Source organism: Homo sapiens, chromosome 8 (genome assembly GCF_000001405.40).
Source record: "Homo sapiens chromosome 8, GRCh38.p14 Primary Assembly".
NCBI classification, from domain to species: domain Eukaryota; kingdom Metazoa; phylum Chordata; class Mammalia; order Primates; family Hominidae; genus Homo; species Homo sapiens.
In genome coordinates, this window is record NC_000008.11 from 68,751,391 (window position 1) to 68,775,873 (window position 24,483).

General features: G+C 36.8%; 1 protein-coding gene across 9 annotated transcripts in view, besides 1 other annotated feature; it reads left to right on the forward strand.

The window, feature by feature from the left end:
• C8orf34 (chromosome 8 open reading frame 34) overlaps positions 1-24,483 on the forward strand; it is a 488,651-nt gene that overhangs the window by 421,018 nt on the left and 43,150 nt on the right. The gene's annotated exons all lie outside the window — the stretch shown is intronic.
• Positions 8,297-8,798: an enhancer, noted in NCBI's record as "NANOG hESC enhancer chr8:69671922-69672423 (GRCh37/hg19 assembly coordinates)". NCBI's record gives its function as "activates a minimal SCP1, AML or CMV promoter by ChIP-STARR-seq in primed H9 embryonic stem cells {active_cell/tissue: H9 hESC(primed)}" and the evidence as "EXISTENCE:reporter gene assay evidence [ECO:0000049][PMID:30033119]".

A 24,483-nucleotide genomic window follows, 5' to 3' on the forward strand; every position in this document is an offset into this window, starting at 1 on the left:
AGTTTCAGAGAAGGATTGTTATTTTTAAATTACTTTAAGGACCAAGTGGACCAGCTCACCCCTGTGCTTGAAAAGACTGCAAAGGCTAAAGGACTTAATACTTGGTGAGTCTTAATAGAAAAATGTAGGTTGCGTGAAGTGGTTTTTTATAGAATCTCAATAGTAAGTTAAAACTCTTATACACCACACAGTATTGAGGGATAAGAGGCTTAAATTACAGTCAGCCTCTTATGCTGTGGGTTAGGATTTATTTGAAATACAGATTTACCAATAGTTGTTAGAAAAACATGAAATTACTTTGAGAAGTATTTGGCCATACTAAGTGAAGTAAACAAAAAATATGACAAACAAACTAATGAAAACCACTTCTAAGCCTGCAGATAGACTATAGGGGTTATAAGAAATATATGAATTATTTTATTATGACGTTTGGGAAATTAATAGTAAAATTTATATTTATAAAATATAAAATATATATTTGAATTTTAAAAAATTATTATATTACAAATAAACTCAAAATCTCTTGTATAAGTTCATCTATATATACATACCCACAGTGCATGAACTTTCTTCAGATCATAAGATGAAAGCATTAAGATTTTTATGTTTTAGTTTAATTGCAGTTTCAGCCTCATAGGCTCAGAGAATGTGGAGAACTCTAACAGCAGTTGAATTCTCAACCATCTAATATTAAGAAGTCTTCCAACATTTCCTTAACTTCTCCAGGTTAAAAGAAACTAAGACTTCCTTTAAGAGAGGGAACGTATCTCTGTTAAACTTGTAAGAGAGTTCTTCCAGTTCTTCCTCATTTAGAGTGATCAAAATTTGATTCCTTTTACCTTCCACAGATTGTGCTGATGTCTCATTAAATTAAATTTCCCTGCCTTCAAATTCTATGAGCCAACAACTCCTTAAACTTTTCTAATTAGTCCCCTGGCATGACTTATACTTGTAAGTTCATTGCTCATCCTGTGGGACCTTCCCTTTGACCTGGTTCTACTGTGCTGGAACCAGGCGGTATGGCTCCCTGGCTGGGTAGGGCCATCTTTCCCCAACTTTATACAATGACATCACATTGGTACCTTGAAATCAGCCCTATGGGAGGATTTATTCCACAGAAATCAACAAATGCTTTAAGAGCCTTAATTTTCTTCTGGAGAACTGGTTGTTAAACTTTTACCATGTCCCACTGATACTAAGAATTCAGATAGGAAATATAGAAAATGATGCTATAAAAACTGACAAGTGACTTCTTTTAGGGCCTCACCAGCAAGCTTCGTTGTGGATGCGCAGTGGAAGTACTGGGAATTTGTGTCCTTCGAGAGTTTTCCATAGGGTTGTGTATATAATGGGTGACTGGTATTTTCCGACTTGAATTAATGTGGGGAATTTTTCTCCCATTCTTGTATAAAATAGCGGTGGAATTCTATACTTCATAGATCAGAGACCAGCTGGTTGAGTTGGAAAAATGTTTCTTAATTTTAACTTTATTTTTTATGTTTAGGCCAGGATTTCTCTCTAGTTAGCTCTTGAATTGTGTTTTTTTGAATATCAAGAAACCATCCATATATTTGTAGGTAGGTCTTTTTGAGAATCGTATGGTTCTAATTTCCTCCCAATCCACCAGAAAATGTTGTTGATTTTTAAAAATGACAGGCAGTATCTTGTGAAGCTCTGTATTGCCACACATTATTTTGTCCTTGAAGGAAAGCTTAAAAGAAAATGACAGCATATTTTATGGTCATAACACAGCAATATTGAAAACATGTTCTCGTAGATAAAGGAAATGATCACTGTTTTGTAAATAATGAGCACTCTTGGATCATATAAATGTGATTGTGAGTGCTGAATATTAAATTTAATACACAACTTGACCCTGCTTTTTTAATCAACTGAGATAATAAATATTAAGTTGCTAACATGGCCCCTCTCACTAAACCGATTGCATGAAGCCTTGTAGAAAAAAAGTGGAAAGTGAAATGGTTTTAGCCTTAAAAACATAATGGTTCTCTAAGGAAAATTATCTAAATGCACTAAGATGAAAACCATTAAGTAAATTGTATGATGTAGACTGTATACATAATGTCAGTTTAGAGATAGGAGAGCTTTCCATAGATTGGAAGAGTTAGATAAGATTTCAAGGGAGGATTGAACTTGATCTTTGTTATCACAGAAATTGTTTTTAGCATTTGTTTCACTAGTTAATGTAGCACAGTATCTCCTTCTAGATTTACAAAGTAACAGCATAAGGAAAACAGGAAACTAGGAGTCCAGCCTCAGTTACATTTTATGTGACCCTCTTTTAGAATTTAATGTAGTTTACTGAGATAGGCCCTGTCCTACAAATTATGTTTTGAAAACCGTTTTTCATTGAGGAATGTGGTTTCAAACATGATAAAGAGAATTCTGATGTGTGAATAACATCCTCCATATTGTTGAAATTGACTAATCACTTTGATCTGTCATGCATGGCCCCTGCATGACATTTCTTGGTGTGTGTTCTGCTCCTGGCCAGGAATAGAGTCACAGTCATTGGTGCCAAGCCCTTTCAGTGGCTGCTGGAGAGGTCAAGTCATGCTCTAGTCAGGAGCAAGAAGCTCTGAGAATGAACCTCCCACATTCTGTGCAAGTACCAGTATCTGTAGTTGATGTCTAGCATTTGGTTACCATGTTCTTTCAAGCAATTTTGTGAATGGATTAACTGGAAAAAAAAATCACTTAAAAAATAAAAAAGGGCCGGGAGCAATTTAGTTCAACAAAGTGTTTAAAAAATGCAGAGCTACATGGATCACATTATGGTATGAGAAAAACCAAACTAATAAATCAGACTGTAAACTAATAAAACATACTGTTGACCTTAGAAAAAGTAAAATCCTGAAAAAGTGTATCCTGAAAGCGTTACTTTTACATTTCTTCTAAAGCTATGCAAAATTGCTACCTTAGTTCAAAGTGGAGAAAAGAAGCCAAAATCTGCTACCAGGAATGAAGTTGACAAGTATGTTCTTTCATGATTACTTTGTATTGAGGCATAACATTCCTTTTCGATGTAAACAGGGTTTTTAAGAATCTAGAAAGGAATGTTAAACAGCAGGTGAAGGTTGGAAGCTTGAGGCCAAAGAAGACATTAAGTAAACTGAACCCATCCAAATTTCCCTGGGCCTTGAATAAATCTAGAGCCTGGGAAGAATACCCAAGGCTGTCCCAGCCACAGTGAATTAACGTCTGAGCTAAATGAAGCTGTACTATTTGCATGAATGACTTCTGGGATTTTTAAGAAGACAGAAATACGATGACCACTCTAAAAGTCTCTACCTCTGAAATTCTACTTTATAAAACTTTGAAGGTGACATGGGTATCATAGTCTATTACCAGTCACGGAAAAAGTACACTTAGAATTGTTTATATAAAATGTCTACCTGTATATGAAAAGCTGAGGTAGAACAAATTTTTCAGGGCAACTGTACTATATATATCTATTAACTTTGGTTAAACATAGGATAGACACATTGGAATTTTTTTTAGTGGCCATGTAACCTTTGATTAGTAAATAGTATACTTATATATTTTTCTGTATTCAAAAGCTTAGAAATATTTAGCCTTGTAGGAAATTTCTGGACACTACAAAACTGAAAATTTTATAGCACAACTAGGACACATTTTTTTGGTTGCTTATTCTGATGAAATAATGTGTCCTATGTCATTATAAATATTCACACTATTTCAAATTTCTTCCTTTCGACTTGCAGTAAATATTTTGTACTAAGCATGTATAAGATCTTTCTAGAAGACAACAGGGCCACTGCATTCAAACTAAAGCCCAAGTTCAACCTTAGAAGAACTGTCAAGATTCAGTGATGAGGGAAAGTTGTATTCCGGATTATGTGAGTGTCTTCCTGACACTGAAAATTTTGAGTCTGCTCTAATTCCCTGTGGACTCCAACAGAAGAAACTGGCATAATGGCAGTTTCAGTAATAATAGTAATAGAGTAATAAGCCAGCATTATAAAGGTGTTGCCTTTTATATATGGAAAATTTATTATTTGCTCATGACTATGCTATGTTCTTCATAGATATTTTGTAACATCTTCATACCAATCCTATGTAGTAGATATCTGATACCAATTTTACAGTTGTAGAAACTGCTGCCGGGAGGCTCAGTAATCTTTGAAGATTACACAGCCAGGGAAGAGCAGAGCCAGGTTTTGACACCAGGTCACATGGTGCTACAACCTCCACTCTTAATTCTAATACCTTGCCTTCTCTTGTGTAGACGTCCAACCTCCTATGGTTGTCCAAGCCACCTAGGTAACTAGGGGGAACTGTATCCTTCACATTCTAAGAAGTCACTTCGTGTACAAATATATTTGTGGCTTAAAACTAAGAGTAACTGGCCAGGCGCGGTGGCTCACGCCTGTAATCCCAGCACTTTGGGAGGCCGAAGCAGGTGGATCACGAGGTCAGGAGGTCGAGACCATCCTGGCTAACAGGTGAAACCCCGTCTCTACTAAAAATACAAAAAAAAAAAAATTAGCCGGGCGTGATGGCGGGCGCCTGTAGTCCCAGCTACTCGGGAGGCTGAGGCAGGAGAATGGCGTGAACCCGGGAGGCGGAGCTTGCAGTGAGCCGAGATTGCGCCACTGCACTCCAGCCTGGGCGACAGAGTGAGACTCTATCTAAAAAAAACAAACAAAAAAACAAAAAAAAAAACCAGAGTGACTCCCAAATGTAGATGGACAGTGCATATGAGAGCCGCCAGTGGCCTTGCTCTTTAAATTATGTCTGATGGCCCCTGTGCTGAATACAGTACCCTGGCACAGAATGTGTGCTTGAATGAGGAAACAGGATTCAGGGACTTTATTTTTCCTACATTTGCAGCCTCAAAGGGATATAAATGCTCTGATGCTATAGATCACTTACACAGAATTAATTCCATTATGTACTAATTCACTCTATTTTGAAAAGTGTAACTCTACTGAACTTCTGGCCTATGATTCTAGAAAATGCACTGTGACACTAACTCATTCATTCATTTTTCATCCAACCAGCATTTGCTAAGCACCTCTGCTGGGCATTCTGTTGATCGGAAGTGTATACTTCTGAAGTAACGGGTAGGGGGTGGGAGGACAATTTTAATTATAAATGGAAACTTTAAGGATGGAAAGGAGGTACTCAAAGAAAAGAAAGAAAAAAGTATGAAAGCTTAAATAATATGTTACTTAAGTACTCTGAGTTTGTTTAGTTTTGCTTTTTAATTTCCAATTTATTTAATTTCCAATTTATAAATCACTGATTTATAAATTGGAAAAATGTTAAAGTATGTTCATCAAAAGAAGACTGGTAAGGGAGTAAATCTGTACACGAAAACATGCCAAAAACTGTATCAGTAAATAAATATTCTGATCAATATTTTCAATAATTTAGATTGTGTTGATTGATATGATTTTAAACAGGACTAGCTTGTTGCTCTATGAAAATCTAGAGCTTCCCATATGGATATTTCTTCTTAAAGATGAAAGAGAACTCTTATTTAGTTAAACACAGTTGACAGATGGGTTAATAAATGATTTACACATAGGGTGATTAGATGCCTACCAAGTATACTATTCATGAATTAAAACAATTCCTCCTTCACAAGATAAAAAAAGGTATCTTAGCACACTTGCATTTCATAGTTGAATGGCATTGTTAGATTGAAAATAAATTTGATTCCGTTTTAAAGTCTTGCTGTGCAACTGAGAAAAGACACAACTTTAAAAATTATTTATTTTTTTTTTATGATCAGGATCCTTCAAGCCAACTTTCAAAATGAAGATTAAACCATGTGCTTTCAACAAGAGAGCTCTGCAGGTCCTGTGTCCCTCCAGATTATCTAATGGAGGACTCTGGAGGCAGTGGGTCAGTGACGGATGTTAACCAGCTCACTTTAACAAGTGCGAAAGATTAAAAACAAAAATGTTAGCCGGGCGCAGTGGCTCATGCCTGTAATCCCAGCACTTTGGGAGGCTGAGGCGGGCGGATCACCTGAGGTCAGGAGTTCAAGACCAGCCAGGCCAACATGGTGAAACCCCGTCTCTACTAAAAATACAAAAATTAGCCGGGTATGATGGCGGGCGCCTGTAGTCCCAGCTTCTGAGGCAGGTGAATCACTTGAACCGGGGAGGCGGAAGCTGCAGTGAGCCGAGATCACGCCACTGCACTCCAGCCTGGGCAATAGAGTGAGACTCCGTCTCAAAAAAATAAATAAATAAATAAATAAATAAAGCACAAAAATGTTGCTTATAGGGAATATTGTGGTGAACATGTAAAGAGTAGGTGCAAAATTTACATTTAGGCCAAGCTGAATTTTGATTCTCTTCTGAGAAGTAAACATAACGTACAATGGATAGAATGTGGACTGTGGAGTTCCAGAGACCCATGGTCAAATCTGGCTTGGTTTTTTAGCTCTAAGATGTTGGGCAAGTAATACAGTCTCTCTGAGCTTACTATTTTTACTCATAAAACATATAACATCAACTTTATATGGTTCTAGGAAGGATTAATTGAGATATGTAAAGTGCTTAAAATGGCAGGTATGTAACTCATTCACAATTGTTCCAGATTCTCCTGGATTCTTGGATTGGAATAGCCCAACAAAGTACACGTTCAGTCAGTCAGCAAATATTTACTGCGTGCCTGCTGTGTGCCAGGCACACTGATGGCATCGGGGATGCAATTACAATGAGACTCCGCCTTTGTCCATAATGAGTTTCCACTCTGTTTGAGGAAATAATGACATAAACATGAAATTTGGCCAGTCTAGGATGCCCACTGCTAGGACAGCAGCAAAGAAGGCAAAACAAATGGCTCATATATTTTTAAAAATTTTCTCTGCTTTATACAAACAGTAAAATTGAGTAACTTCTCCTCATCTCATGTGGAATTGTTTATTTTGTTTCTGTGGGTCAGTAGATTTTGGTAGTCCACCCCATAGTAGTATAACAGCAAATTCTCAAGCTAAGCCAGAATCAGGTCAGTAGCACAGGATGGTTCTTTTATGAAGTTAAGGTCAAGCCGTACTCCTTAGTCTGCAGTGGTCTTGGCTGGGAACACCAGGCCAAAATATCCTCTCTAGAAACAAGTGATATATGAACATATTTACATTTGTTCTGAGAAATCAGGGAGTATAGTCCCATCATTAAGGACTATCTATCTCTAATTAAGCTTTTCAAGTCAGCTAACTTTAGTCCAAACTCTGGCAGGAAGAGTTATAAGGGATCGTGGCGGCTTGCTTTCTGCGTGGGAACCTGGGGGCTTTGCAGAACTGCACTTCTTACATCTCAAGCAGAGATGATATAGAGACTGTACATTATTCCCTTGGACTTTGTTTTTATTTTTTTATGATTCTTATAGGCATATCCATTTAAATAGTGTATTATATCTAATAAGTAGACTTCCTTACTAAATGGTCCGGACTTTCCTCAATGGATAAAAATTGTTCTAAACTCAGCAGTAAAAGCAATTGGATTTATACTTATTTTTCCTATAATCATTCTTAGCAACTGGCACAGCTGTGATCTTACTGTCATTTCTTACAATTATGATAAAGATAAGAACTAGTTAGTTTAGCTTTAACTATTTGCATTTCCAAAAAGAGCACCTGAACTTTCAAAGGAAATGATCTTAAAAAATTATACGTAGACACATACATACATATACACAAACACACACACATATGAAATATATACACACAGACCATATTCCTCTTAATCATTCTAACCAAATCTTTGCACATGTATATCCAAGTCACATTTTTTACCCATTATATAGACATTCATTTTACTTACAGGAAGAAAAAAATATTAAATTATCAACTTAATTTAAAGTTAACATCTATTTAACTTTAAAGTTAAATTTAACTACAATTTAATTTAAAGTTAACATCTGTTAACTAGAAGTTATTCCATCCTCATTCAAATAAAAACAACAGTAGAGGATCTAGTCTTTCTTTATGCTGAAGGATCAGAAATTAGCAAAATGCAATTTTGTGTTTTCTTGTTTCTTCACACACCCACCCCATTCATCCTCATTGTTTCAGTTTCTCCTGGTGTGGGACTTATATTTCCAGCCTGCCAAAAGTGAGAGCTTTCTCAACAGTGAACTCTCAAAAGATTTCTTAGCTGTGAAAGAATTACAGAATGCCAAGAAGTACCTTGTCGGGGTCTACTGAATTTACATATACATGTGGGAATGAATAAGTGGTGTGTTTGTTTGAATATTAGTCAAAAATGTAAAGAAAGTTATCCTTGATTTTTCTGACTACCTTTCAGATTATCTTGCAGGATGCATGTTTGTTTAAAATTCACTGAATTCTTAAGTAGGATTTTGAATGGATTGATGGATAAAACTATTTTCAAAAAATAATTTAGTATAGCATTGAAAGAACATGCTATATTCACTTTCTAGGCTTAGTGCATCCATTCATTCCACAAACATCTATTAAGCATTTTCTATGGTGAAATCCTGTGAGGTACTGGGAATCTGGAAATGAAAGATATACTCATTGCCATTAAAGCACTTACAGTATGACAGGAAGGGCAGCTGAATGAACAGATGTTTGTGAGAGTACGGAAGTGCTGTGACAGAAGTATGCATGGCATGCCTAGGAGAGGCAGAGGCACACAAAGTAGGCTGCAGGGTGGAGCATGATCAGAAATAGCTTCCTGGAGAAGTTGGCCTGTGGCTTGATAGTGAAGGGAGTTGCTGGGAAGAGTCATTACAACACAGGCGGAGGACAGCCTGCGGAGGCCACCCACAGGTCAGCACAGCTGGAGAATTAGGTGATGGGGGGCCGTGATGTTGGAGTGGCAGGTCATAATGAAAATGAGAATCATTTCTCCAGTGCCTAGCTCTGTGATTTATAGGTATTGCCTCTAATTCTTTCAATCGAAAGCATTCTTAGTTGTAGTGTCTTTACAACTGAGAAAGAGAGACTTGGAAAATTGAAGTGACTTGCCTCAGAGGCCACACATACCTAATAAATGAGTGTCAGAAAAAAAGGATTCAGACCCAATCTCATGTCCAAATCCAATTTGGAGCTTGATTTCCAGGGAGTGTTGAATAATGTGTTTATATTCTGGAAGCTTGGAGGAGACACTGAATGATTCAAACCCTTGTGCCTACTTCTTCCTCCTGGCAGAAATGAACTAATTTATCTGAGCATGAGACTCTTTGCAATATTACTTATTAAATTCTCATAAGAGCCTAACAAAGGATTTCATAACTCACAGTAGGTTTTTTTTCCTTTAAATGACTTTATGTATATTTTCAAGGAGTTCATTTGTCCATAATAATTTACACTGAGGTTTAATGTAAATAATTTGTTGGGTTGACCCTGGAGTAGCAAAACTAAGAAGTGGAAAATATCTACCTGAGATAATGGAAGGAGAACTGGATTAGGAGTCCAGTGTGTGAGTTTAAATCAGCCTCTATCACTGTTTAAATATTTAATTTGACTAATACAATGGTTGGTTTCATTTCCTGTCTTCTAGAAGACCATAGGCTATGGATTCCTAGCTCTACCTTGGAATCTTTTTCGTCTCAGCTTCTACAGCTGTAAAATAGAAGTATTTCCTTGGCAGGAATATTGAGAGTAGCAGTACATATGCCTGGTCTATAGCCGGTACTGGATAAAGGCCAATTTCCTTACCTTGATTCAGATGATGACACAGTCAAAAGCAAGGCTATCTGAATACTTTTCCACCTTCTTCTCCCAAATTAAATGCAACAAGGTTATAATTATGAGAAACAAGGGACAATCTAATTCTATCCCCTCACTACCAATCTGCCTCAATGTGGTGGCCCAGCTTTAGAACTTTAGGAAGAGACCACAACAGAAATTTGGTATCAGAATATGGAGCCACTTCTTCCCCAGTGGGGAACCCCTTCTGTAGCTCACTACTGTACCTTGCCCTCAGGATTTCAGGCAACAGTTCTTTCCTGAAACTTCCTGCTCCCACTCATATTTTATTACTCCTCTAGAGCAGTGCTCCCTTATTTTGAGGAAAAAAAAATTGTCTCCCTGAAACTTTCATCTATAAGCCCCAATTTGACTCTCTGAAACAAACAAAAAACCGTCTAATTTCCTTTCCATCTTTTAAATCTTCAGTTAAACACAATACTCTTTCTTTAGGTCTTCTGTCCTTCGGATGAAAAATAAATAACTTCTTCAACGATTCTTTATGTGACCTTATTTCTAGACCCCTCTCTATTTGCCACCAACACACCAAATGGAACCACAGTGCTCTAACCTGATCAACAAAGTCCAGTTCACCCACTAACAGCCTGGAGAAGTCTGCTGTACCTTTACTAATGATGTCTAATTTTGAAATAGCTTTTTTAGTAGCTTCCACTGCATTTCTGGTGCACACCAAAGTTGTAGTCAGCTAAAATTCTCCCCTGCCTCCTTTTTTCTTTAACACTACAGTGTGGCTGTGTTTTTATAATCCCGTGTCTATGTGATTTAAAAAAAAATAAAAAGCATAGTAGAGTATTTTGCAATTAATTTCACTGGGCTAGTTTCAGCTTCTTGATAACTTTGAAAATGTGTTGTTGTACACTTTTTAAATCTCACCATCACTGTTGGAGCTCTTATAAAAGTGGCCAACACTGCTCTCACTCACCCCCTTGGCTGTGGCACACTGCATAATTGCATGTGGTGGCCAGTGATAAGTCTGGTGCTTGGCCAAGTCAGTGATTAAAGATTCTCTTAATTTTCTAAAGTAACATTAAGTATGGAAGGGGCCTTGATTAGCTCGATTTGTGTCATCTCGGAGCTTCAAAGAGTATCCTACCAGAGTAAAGAAAACTCCCAAGAGACTTGTAATCTTTAAGAATATTGAGGTTGCCGTTTCATAACTTGACTTTATTAAACTGATATATTTAACTAACTGGCAGTGACCATAAGATGATTTACATTTAACTTTCAACCTGCAATATTGGTATGGGTTTCAGATGGGGCTAAATAGTTTGGCTCTGAAGTTTATTGTCAAAAAGTACCCAAGATTTTAAGTGTTTATCTCAATTAACATTGAAAGTCCATAAAATTACACTATACATGTTACAAGAATTATTCTGTTTTCTTGAAATTTCTGGCTTTTAGATTCCCAGACTTGGCAGGAAATCTTTTTGGCTCCTCTGTTTCTGATTTTAGCTGTTTTCACAAAATGCAAACACATGCAAAAACATTGTAATAAACCTCAGTGTTCAGTCATGTTCAGTAAGACCTCAAAAGATGTTTGCTTTGAACTGGGTTCTAAAGATGGGCATACCTTCGTAAGAATAGAAGATATCCTCTTACTCTCTATGATGTGGTTTGGCCTTCTCAGGGTCTCAAAGTAAGCTTTGTTCTGTAAGGCACATTATATTCACTTTTTGGACTAAGAATTAACAGAGAAATTTCTTCCTATAGAACATCTTGGGGCTCTTCTAGTCCCCAAAGGGGCAAGGGTTTTAGACCACGAAGGAATGACTGTATTGCATCAAAGAGACTAGGAACATCATCGCAGGGCCCACACTCTGTGCCCTGTCTTAGATGTAATGAAGCATTGGAATTGTGGTTCATTAAGTTGCTGGGTCTGGTATCACTTTGTGGTTTTGCCCTAACTGATTGGTCTATAAAGTCTGTCCTAGGCATCAGTGAAACAGATTCCTACTGGATAAATTCTCCTTGGAGTAAGATGGACTTATTTTTTTTCAGTTCATGCTACAATAGTCTTGGACTAAACTCCCAATGAATGAATTTGTAAACAAAAATTTAAGACTAGGCTGAAGGGGTTTAGACAATGGTATAATCTTTCGTTAGTGGAATGTGATTGCAGTGATATCTTCTGCAAGCAGGTAATTTCACATCCTTCCCTAACTTTGTTTCCTTTCTAAGTTTTATCCATTTTCCTTGATAATGATGCTGCCTTCCCTGGAGAGAGCTTTTGACTTTTATTTCTTCTCAAAAAGACCATTTACTCTGATGGGTCTGACAGTGTCTTTGTGGTAGGCAATTCAACTGGATCTTACTCCCTTTTTCTTCTTCTTCTATTCTACCTTCAGTTTATTTTTGTTCACCTGTGTTTTTGGGTTACTCTCCAACTCAAAACAAATGTAGTCAATTTTGAAAATGTCTTTCTCTACTTCATATTCATACTCAATTTCCTGTTGATCCTATATAGATCTAAAATATGACTTTTCCCCCATCTCTTGCTACTAGAATATCCCCGATCCCGTCATTTTGAAATATTCAACATTGTTACAAAAAGTCTTTGTCTTTATGTCTTCTGATGACATCTTCTATCTTTTGTATATTAAATTAGAAATTTGTGCTTCTTGTAATAATCCTCATTCATTCAAGAACTGTTTTGGAGAGATTCAGGTACCAAGCCCTGCACTAAGTGCTATTAATGGTAAAGAGATAGATATGTCCACCATAAAAGAGCTTCACTGGTTGCCTTAGACTAGCCCAAGGCTGTATCCCTCCCCATGGATGAGGAGTCCATGGGACCAAGATGTATCTCTCTGGAGCCTGAATATGTGCTAGGCACTAGAATCCTAGAATCCCTTTCACTAGAGATCCCAAGCCTGCTCTCTGGACCTGCATTGGCCTCTTTCCTCAGTCCATCATTCCCTACAGCTAACTCTAGGTCTGAGGAGTGGGCAAGAGGCAGCTGTTTTGGGGATATGTGGACGAGCTTGGACATACAGGTACAGATATCCACATAATGTCCTCATAGAGCCCCTTGTGGTACAGTGCAGGGTGTGAGGAGAGGGGACAGGGAGATAGAGTTAGAGGTTAGCACCTACCTGCTGCTTTCTTTTTTCTGCCAAATTCTGGTGCAGAACTTGAAGGAATACAGGAATTCTAAATTTGAAACCGGCCTTCTAAGTCTGATGGAAAGTCAAGATACAGTTTATGTGATAGTTTGTTGGCGGTGCAGACCTCTGTTTGACCTCTTGGCCCAGGCCTTGCAAATATTAAGGTTGGGTCTGTGGAGTCAACAATGTAGGAGAGAGCACTTCTACCAGTGCAGTCAGTGGGCAGGTTTTCTAATAGTGGGGAGTCAAGACAGCACATAGCAGAGTGGGGTGAAGACCACACAAATATGTGGGCTGGGGGAGTCTTCCTCGAACAAGTAGCATTGGAGCTGAGACCTGCCAAGTGTAAAATCTTGCCATGTGACATCAGGAAAAGGGCATGGAATGTGGAAAGGAATGTCTGGAAGAGGAAAGGAATGCCAAAGGTTGAGGGGAAGGAGACAAAGAGACAGAAGAGACACTGCCTTTGGGGGCCTCAGGTTTATTCAGTATGACTAGAGCACCGGGAGCTTCCTGAGATGGAGATGAATAGATAGTCGGGAACAAGGACTTGCTAAGGATGCCGTCTTACTCCCTTGTCTCAACAATTTCGCAAAGTGTTCCTTTATTAATCAATCTTCCATTCATCCATGAATTTACTCCTGAAAACTTATTTGTATATGAAGCCATTTGATAATTTCCTATCACTGAAAGTACAAGATTCTTCTAATGAAAGTAACACAAAAATAAGAGATAAACGAAGAAGTAGCATCTGATTTCCTTCCTACCTATATTATTAAAGTCTTAAGCATATCCCTCATTTTTGTACCTTTCACAATATTAGGTTGTTTTTTCCTGCCTTTCATTATAAACTAAACACTAGTACTAACGTTTATCACAGTGATTTATAATAATGACAGCCAGGGATTTGTCCTTGTCCTCATTGCTTTATAGACAGTATTTCATTTCATTCTCAGAATAACCCCTGAGGAAAGTGGTGTTATCGCCATTTACAGATGAGAAAATGGAAATCAGGGAAGTTATGTAAATTTGCCCAATGTGCGTAAGCATAAGTGGCAAAACTGGAGTTTAAACACCTTTGTTTGACTCCAAAGCCTGTCCTCTTACTTTTCTAGGTAACACCTTTGCACCTTCTGACAGTACGTAGAGTCTAGGCCAAGTCTTAGTCTAATGACCAGCACCCATTAAGCAAAAGAAATAATGTACATAAACACAGGTGGTGAGTTTGGACCCACCAATGGAAATCACCTTTCAAAGTGTCCTAGAGACTGTAGGTAAAACTCCAGAGTTAGTAATCATAATAATTTGAATAAATTAAAACCCCCACTATTTTCTGATTCCAAGTCACTCTCTTATATATTTGGAGGTCACTTCTTTTTCTTAGACGATTGGTTATGCTTCTACACATTTACTACCAGCAAGACACAACTTTACTAGTGACGCTGTTAATGGTATCAGCTGCCAAGTTTATGACAGACTAGATGATGCTCATTCATGCATTTTGCTAATTTGGTTGGAACCTTAATTCTGCAGATAGCATTTTCTCTAAATCACTTGTGTAATTAATTAAAAAATAGAAATTTAGGCCCCTTCAATTAAATATGTTAAGGATTAAAAATATAATTTTGAATTTAAATGCACTTCTCTATTATATGACCTGAATTTGTTTACAAGTCAGTGAAAAATAATTTTTCTCACGAAGTTTACATTGTTCTATAACCTTTTAATGTGTATTAAATAATGCAAAGGTTTCTGAAATGTGAAACTGGTTTTTTGGTTGTTGAATGAAAAAAAAATTAGAGACACATCTTAAAAGAAACAAACACGTAATTACTTGTGTCCATGCATCAGTTAGAGAAATGTTTCCCTAAATATAGAGAAATTCCTAGTAATACCGCTTATCTGAAAAATCAATCACTTTTTTAAGTTAAGGAAATATGAGCCAAAAACATGAGAGACGTAAAGTCCTTGGTATTGCATGGGCATTGGGTATCAGTTTTTTTTCCATGCTCCTATCTGAGTCACAGTTCAGGAGGTTGGTCACCTTAGCCGTTTAGTCATTTTGCAAAGACACAGGTTGATTTAATTTTAAAAGAATACATTACATGTTTGGTTTAAATTATGTGACTCATATTCATATTTCACGGACCTTAGAGAATTTATACAGGTACTTTACAAATTCCAAAGTGAAATCTATTGATTTTTTTAAAGAGCTTAATGGAGGAGAATTTAAAGGCTTATTTCAAAAAGTAAAAATCAAAATTGCTAACTGATTTTTATGAGGTCAGTGTTATAATTAGATTAGTTTAAGATTAAATCAAAACAATAAGAATGTCATTTAACTACTTCTGCTGATATGTAACCAATAAGGAATACCACTTTATCTAGACCGAAAGCTTTGGATCAAAGGGAATAGGCACATATCTTGGAGATATAGCCAACAACAAATGGAGATTTGTAAAATTTCACTCTAATTTTTTAAAATTTCACTTGGACTTTACAATTATGCTGGTAAAACTGTAGTTTAATATTAGAAATAGTTGTCTGTTTATATTTAAATATCTTTTATTGCAAGATTAAACACAAATAGTGAAAATCACTCAAATAAAATGTATGGGTTAATTACTTAATATAATGAGAACACCACTGATGCCAAGAAATGGTATTTTGAGGCTGGGCACAGTGGCTCATGTCTGTAATCCTGGCACTTTGGGAGGCTGAGGTGTGCGGATGACCTGAGGTCGGGAGTTCGAGACCAGCCTGGTCAACATGGAGAAACCCTGTCTCTACTAAAAATACCAAAAATTAGCCAGGTGTGATGGCATTGATGGCATGTGCCTGTAATCCCAGCTACTCGGGAGGCTAAGGCAGGAGAATCAATTGAACCTGGGAAGCGGAGGTTGCAGTGAGATGAGATCTCACGCCACTGCACTCCAGCCTAGGCAACAGAGCAAGACTCTGTCTCCAAATAAATAAATAAATAAATAGCACTTTGCCAGACAACTAAGAAAACCCATCAGTATTCCAGTCACAACCTCTACTTCCCACTGCAAATAAAAACTATTCTTTTACAGAAATAAACTACTTGCATTTAAAAAATAGTTTTATCACCTAAATATGCATTCATTGTCCCCCAAAGTTAACCTTGCCAACTTTAAAAAATCTGGCACATCCTTTAAGTTTTTCAGTCTATAGGTGCCTCCTCCATCCCTTGCATTTGCTTTCAGTTTATCTGTTAAAGAATGCAGGACATTTGACCTGTAATATTTTCCACAGTCTGGCTTTTACTAACATCATATTCTTGGTGCAATTCAACATGCTCCTTCAGTTCTCTATATTTTTCTGAAAATTATCCAGAAATAAGATAAAGCTCCTCTTTGGTATGACCATTCATTCATTCATTCATGCATGCATTCATTCATAGAAATGGGATCTCACTGTTATTCAGGCTGGAGTGCAAGGGCACAATCATAACTCACTGTAACTTTGAACCCTAACTCCTGGGCTCAAGCAATTCTCCCACCTCAGTCTCCCAAGTAGCTGGGACTACAGGTATGTGCCACCACACCTAGCTGGCGTGGCTATTTAATATCTGATTGTTTCTCATTTTATCATCTTAGCAGCCAGTGATACTAAATACTGATATCTATTTATTTGATGATATTCTATCCTATCATTTATTTTTTATTTATTAGGTGGAATACTTTTGTTAAGAAATCCTTTCCCTCACTTACTATTTGGTGAGCCAGTAATACAGTTCTGATAGGAAAGTAGGGTACTTGCTTGATTTGTCCTTTTTATTTATGAGTGTTCAAGACAATGAATCATTTCTCTAATAGCTCCTGAAGATAACCCTTACTTTTGTTAAACGTATTTGATACATAGCAACACATGACAATTATGATCATTGCTAAGCTCAAATTGTCCCATCTTTGGCTCATGAGAGCTCCTTCAAGTTTGTTTATGAGTCATTTTGCAATGCCCCTGGTAGTCTCTGATAGCTTCCTTGCTATTGGGTGGTACAGGATGTGCCAAGCTTACATTGTATATTTCCTGCCCTACACATGGAATCAGCCGTGTTTTGAAAATAGCTGATTTTTTTAAAAGTCTTGGCTTATTTTAGTGAGAAGTGATATTTCAAGACAAGTCTGGTCCCCAGGGCTGCTCATTGCCCCTGAGTTTGTCATTATTTCTATCTCTTTTCAGTGGACAGTTAGTTCTCATCAACACTTTTAATTCAAATTAGAAAATACTAAGACTTTCATTTAACCTCGTTTCTTGTATCTTTATCTCCTCTTTTTTCCATACCAACAATTCTGGTTCTCAATGAAAAGTGACTCTAGAATTAGAATATCTCATAATAACTCATTTGTTTTATTCCATATTACATGCATGGTAGTCTCAGAACAAAAATACTGATACATCTAACAATAGGGATACTGAAAACAAATTATTTGCACATGCTTTCACCATTCTCTTGCAATTTGTAAGAGTCATATGAAATCCACAATGTCATAGGATATAGCCTCTGCATACTACATTCTCTTCAGCTGCCACGTGGTCTTTGTGCCGGCAACTGCATGTTAATACCACCAGTTCCCATACCTAGGCATTTTGGCTTTCTAGAGTTTTCTCTACTAGATCACTGGGTTCACACTTTTTTTTTTTAGTATCTTAAGTATATTACTTCATTCTTCTTTTAGCATAAAGCACTGCTATAAAAGTCTGATGGTAATATAAATATTTTCTCTTTAAAAATCGTGTGGTCTTTTTTGTCTAGATCCTTAAAAGACATTTTTCTTATTTAAAAAATACAATCAATTTGCTAGAATATATCATGTGGTAGTCATTTTGATTCATTATTGTCAGGCATGCAGTGCAATGTGTAATTTCTTTTTTTTTAATTTCAGGAAAGTTTTCTTGAATTAGAACTTTTTGCATAATTCTTTTCCCTTGCTTTTTGTTTTCTTCCTTAAGATCTGCTATTATCCTTATATTTGATCTCCTCTGCCAATCTTCAATGTTTGTCACTTTCCTAAGATTTTTTCTAAAGAAAAATCTCTTAATTTTTTTTTATTTTTAAACTTTCCCTCTTTTTCACTTTCTAGTGATTTTAAGGCATTATTTTTGTTTGTTTCTCCTTATGGTTTTTGCTTTTAGTCTATATTTTATTATTTTTTTTAAAAGGCCATTTTGAATCTTTTCATATTTTAGTATTACAAAGGTAATACTCATTCATAGCACTAAATTTCCAAAAAATAATAAAAATATACTTATTCATGTGTATTTTTCTCAGCTCAAGGTGAAAGTTATAATCAATAATTACTTACAAACTCGAAGTAATCAGCAGTTAATTCAGTGAGTTTATTGCACATTCAGCAACAATATCTATTCACCAGTTTTAAAAGTGACTTAGCTCTTTTTTCCTACTATTTACAAACTTTATGATTTGTATAGATTCTGTGTACATCCAGAGTCAGCTAAGATCTAGAATTTGTTTTCCTTCATTTATTTATTTTTCAGACGTTTACTTTTTATCTATATTGCCAGACCCTGTTCCAGGATTTGGAAAACAAATATTAATTAAAAACAATTTTTGCCCTCTAACAACTCACAGTTAAGTAGAAAAGATGTAGAAAGTAACCAGTGAGCGCGATACGTGCTTTGGTAAGGATAGGCGTAGTCTCAAGGGAGCACATGAAGATTTGAGTGAGGGGAGCCGGGGATGGCTTTCTGACTTGAAAGACAAGGTAGAAGTACAAGGAAGAAGTTCCCAAGTAGATGGGGGACAAGAGAGAAATCTGGCAAGTTTGCAGAGCTATACATAGTTTGCCAAGGCAGGAGACAGAAAAACCAGTGATGAGTAGGTCAATAGAGATACACATATTTACCAAATAATAATACCATACTTTCCAGTTGCCAAAATCTTTCAAGTTTTTAATACTCTTTTTAATTCATTATGTCATATAAAACACAACCCTCTGGTTCTATTGTCAATACCTCATAGCTAAAGAAACTCAGCTTCAGAAGAAAAGTTGTAACTCTCTAAGATACCATGCCTAATAATTTGCTGTGTTAACACATTAAAGCATTTTAGAAAGAATGAATGAATACTATTTTTTGTACGTAATAGTGAAATAATATTATTTATTGACATAATCAACAAATATTAGGGAACATACATGTTGGCACAATGACTAGTTCAATGGTAAATGGATCTTTCTAGAGTCAATTGACCAATAATGTATGCTTTAGTCTATTTCTAAGTCCATGCAATTACAAACAATTAATACTAGCCATTCATTCTTACAGTTACATTCTCTCCTTCTGTCCCTTTTCTTGTCCAACATCCACTGATAAAAGTCACCACTCTTCCAAATATGGAGCCCCTTTTTCCTGGCTTTGCCCTCTCACTTTTTCACATGGCAGTGAAGGAAAGAGAAAAATAAAAACGGCTTTATTTTTTTTCAGCTAATAGTCACTTTTCAGAAAATAGGAAAGAACACTAAAATGTTTTAAGTCATTTAAAATTTAACATTCTTAGTGTTAAATTTTAGTCATTAGTCACATAATTGCTCCTTCTCATTTTCATCCTTTTAAGGCAAAGGCATTAACCTCTAAAGGAACTGTTTATCTTAACATAAAAATCTTGGAAAAAATGATACTGCAGAGTGAATCATAACATTTTATCTTAAAATGCCACTGTGTTTTTGTCCTTAGCAATGCTAAATTTATCAAGTATTTTCTCTACCAGTAAAAGGGGTCATTTCCAGAGAAATGTGGTCTGCATTGATGCTGTATTTATTTGGAAGATTGTGGGCAAATTTTCAAAAATACTGTAAACAATATGAAAAAGCATTGGAGGTAACTAAACAGAAATAGCATCTGGCATATATGTAGGTCTGAAAACAAACATAACAATTTATTGGATACATCAATAATTTCAAAGACTTGAGCTTTCTAAAAATTTTTGAGTTTCTAAACCACTGTACCTAGTTTTTCATTAATTGGGGATAAATCACTGCCTGTTCTTTTGGACATGAATAGTAGTTGCTGCCTATAGAGGTTGTCGAGTTCAGAAAGCTGAATTTCGATCTCTTCATCAACTATCATAAATGTGGTAACTCTGTGTAATAATGCAGTGAGAAAACACAACATGTAGCCATCATATTAGCAGCTGCATTACAGGAAATTATAGTATGAAATTAGGAAGTGATATATGATGTTGATATCTCTGTATCTGAAGATACAGCACACATTTCAGTGCGTGGTATAATTGGTGCTCTTCATTGCAATGCTTGTGGTTTCACATATTTCCTCTGTTGTGTCTGGGCCCTTACCCCAAATTTTCCTTCTTCCTAATATGAGTCTTCCTCCTTAAGCAGCTCCTTTATCCGGACTAATGACTAAGATTTCAGGACTAAACAAAAAAATTGTTTTTTTAATTTTTTTGCTCAAGCACTATTCTTTCCACTTCGTCTCCTTCATCACATGTATGCAGAGGCTACAACAGTTCCCAGCACATGGGAGTGCTCAATACATGTTTGTTTAAAAAAAAATGAAAGACTAGATGCCTTTCCTCTGACTTTTTCCCATAGCATCTTGATCTTACGTGTGGCAAATAACTTTTGCTTTGTATTCTAATCACTTGTATATGTTTTTTCAAGGTAAACTTTTTTATAGTAGTAATTAACTCTTGTTCAGCTCTTTGTCCCAACACCTAACACAGTATATGGCACATGAGAAGTGCTTAATAAATACCTATGGAAAAAATGATGGGTGAAGTTTTATGGGCCCCTTGGGTTAGAAATGCCCTGGCCATTCATATCGAGCTCCCATTCTTCCATGGGTTCCAAATACCTCAGGTAGTTCTTAAGAGAATGCTCTGTAGGTTAGAATTATTGTTTAGTTTCCTTTGAAAAAGATGAGAAGAAAAATTATTCTGGTAGAAGTAGGTTTCTCATGGAATTTTTTAAAAGAAAATTAACATCAGAGGTCTTAGACAGATACTGTTTGTGAATAAATGTACCCTACACACAAGTGCCAGTCTGTTTGCATTTTGTCTAAGGATTAATGAAAGATGAATAGAAAATACTTATTGATTGAAACAAGAGAAGCATGGCATAATAAAAATGGCAATGGATTGAGGACAGTGTGGTTCTAGTCCTACCTCACTCTCTACGATTTTCCATCTCACTGAGAATGTTTCCTTAACTATAAAATAACCAGGGGACCGACAAGAGCCTTCATCTCTGACAGGCATAGTCCCATGCCATACGTTAAGCAGTAATCACATCAGCCTCTTTGTGCCCCTTTCCCTGAGTTTATAATATATTAAATTTTCTAATTTACATTTAAACACTTATCTCAACTGCGGTTATATTAAAAACTCACAATAAGTGAAACCACATTTCAGAAAGGCCTTTTCTTTCTTTCTTCCTTCTTTCTTTCTTTCCCTCCCTCCCTCCCTCCCTCTCTTTCTTTCTTTCTTTCTTTTTCTTTCTTTCTTTCTCTCTTTCTCTCCTTCCTTCTTTCCTTCCTTCCTTCTTTCTTTCTTTCCCTCCCTCCCTCCTTTCTTTCTTTCTTTCTGTCTGTCTTTCTTTTCTTTCTTTCTCTCTTTCTCTCCTTCCTTCCTTCTTTCCTTCCTTCCTTCCTTCCTTCTTTCTTTTTTTTCTAAGACATAATTTCCATGTTTTCTTTCCTTTTCCTCCTTCACATGCTCCTGTCTGCCTCTCCTTGTATCCTCTCCCCCTCTTTGTTTTTCAAGGGAAATTGCATTATGGCATTTTTTATTCATTCCCAGGTAATTACCAAAATACTATGTTGCTAGAATGACTTGATATTTAAAATGCCAATTCTTTAAAATTAAGAAAAGGACATCTGAAACTCATAGGTTTGTGCTTTGAAGGGGATTTTATTTCATTAGCGATCCCAGTGAGAGGGAGGAGGGAATGCTGGCATTTCACTGGTCTGGTGTTGGAAATGGGGAACCCGAGATAGATGTATTGGATCAAGCCTCTTGACTTGGGCCATCTTTTCTGACCCATCAGAATCAGAGATACTGATGCCTTATTCTTCGTTGTGTCCACTTGGCCTTGTACCACACTTGCATTCTTCAAAATGTTAGTTTCCTCTGTATTTTCCTCCAAGAATCTTTTTATTTTTATTTTTATTTTACTTTTTCTTCTGGGACGGAGTCTTGCTCCGTCGCCCAGGTTGGAGTGCAGTGGCATGATCTCGGCTCACTGCAACCTCTGCCTCCCAGGTTCAAGTGATTCTCCTGCCTCAGCCTCCCGAGTAGCTAGGATTACAGGTACACCACCAAGCCTGGCTAATTGTTGTATTTTTTGGTAAAGACGAGGTTTCACCATGTTGGCCAGGCTGACCTCAAGTAATCCACCTGCCTCGGCATCCCAAAGTGCTGGGATTACAGGTGTGAGCCGCCACACCGGCCCCTCCGAGAGTCTTTTGCTTTATGCTCCTCATTCACTGGTGTCACCCATTGCAGTGACTTACAAATGGCAGTTACAACCAAACTCCCGTTGTATGGCCCTTGAAACAAATGGTATTGTGTAGGTTTCTCCTTTCCTGTGGTGTAGATATGACACTGACACTAAGGAAAGAAGCAAGGCTGTCAAGAAGCTTGCTTTATTTATATTCGATCATTAAGAAAACCCACGGTCATCACCAGGTCTTAGCAGAAGACTGCAAATGTCCAGACAAACGGGAAAAACCACACACTCCAGCTCCAAGGAAACACATCGCCCTCTTCAGTGAGCGCCCAGAAACTGCTCTCCAGCATCTCTCACTGTTAACCCTCAAATGTGCAGAGGCCAACCAGGCAAGCCTCCCATGCTGGCTGCTCCAGAAAGCACATTTGTAACTCTGAGCAATTTGCCACATTGTTCTCTTACTCCTAACCACCCAGGCAAAGGAGAAAGGATGATTAGCACATAAAGGACTGACTGGTTCTGTCATGAAAGAGCCAAATTGGAACAGCCCATAGCACTCCCAGGTTAGTGTCCGAATGAGGGTAAGATAGTGTGGGAAGTTCACCTCTAAGAAACAGTTTATCTATGTATAAAAATATGGGTGTGTGTGTATATATATATATATATAAAATAAACAAAAAAATAAACAGTTTATCTGAAATAAGTTCTCAGCTTTCTCTGTGTGCTTTGAGTTAAATTCCTCACAGCTTGAGGGATTTATATGAACTTAATTTTTCCCAGTAGTTTATGCTTTAAGCAAATAGAACTACCTTATCTCTTTCACTATCTTATCCATTGAAAATCCTACAAGTTTGGAAGCATTTGGAAACATTTAAACTACGGCATATTAATGTTTTGCCAGTGGAAATATGATTTAGGAAGAAATATTACCACCTTTGTGATTTAACCTGTGATTTCTAAGTTTTGGGGAATACCAGCATTCTATTTCTAGCTCAATTTTTGTTTTGACATGAGCATGCCTCATGTTTTCCCCAAGTACTTGCAAGAATACATCACAATTTTTTTTAAAAAAAACTAAAATGAATTTAATTTTGTATGTTTTAAATTGTTGTATCTCAGTGACATAGAAGAGTGTCACCCTGGGCCGGGTGTGGTGGCTCACGCCCGTAATTCCGGCACTTTGGGAGGCTAAGGCAGGCAGATTACCTGAAGTCAGGAGTTCGAGACCACCCTTTCCAACATGATGAAACCCTGTCTCCACTAAAAAAAAAAAAAAAAAAAAAAATTAGCTGGGCGGGGTGGCACATGTCTGTAGTCCCAACTACTCGGGGAGGCTGAGGCAGGAGAATCACTTGAACCTGGGAGGCGGAAGTTGCAGTAAGCCCAGGAAAAAAAAAAAAAAAAGAAGAGTATCAGACTAGAATCCAGTCCAAGCGATGCTTCTCCTTGCTCCTTGACTTAGGGCACTTCACTCTACCCCTCTTGGCCTCAGTTTCCCCAAGTATTAAATTGGCGTGAGGTTGTCTTGCCCTCAATGAGATAATATATGTGTTGGTCATGGGAAAGTTAAAAAGATTCTGTAGAAACAAATGTAAGCTTTTAGCACACTTATTTAATTATGTTTTAAACACATATGGTGTCCTAGGATTTATAATTTCATGATATTTCAGAATTTATTTCCAAATGTCTCTCGTCATGGAGTATAAAAGCATAACTTATCCAAAGCACCAAGTTGTTTGACAATTTTGACCACCAATGTTTAGATGAGTTTGGGATATATGTTTAATTTGATTTTATAAATTTCAACAATTTGAATCTGTGATTACTAGTGCTCAGTGAAGTGCTAGTAAAGACACAGATGACGGAGAATTTACTAATTACATACTAATAGGTTAAGAAAGACTTAATGTAAAGTCTGGATATAAAGGTTAATTGTCTGTCCTCTATGTAAAAAATATTTTTAAGTCCATGTTTTAGATCGTCACACAAATTTATAGAATATAGAATTTGCGACTTCTTTCCTTAGCCTAATTATGAGACTATATTTATAACATTAACAACAGAAAATGTTACACAATTTGTTTAGCATTCTGTTCCAAGATTTAGTTAGTTACTCTAGCTGCTCATTTGTTAACATGAATTAAGATCTATACGAGATCATGTCCTTTGCAGGGACATGGATGGAGCTGGA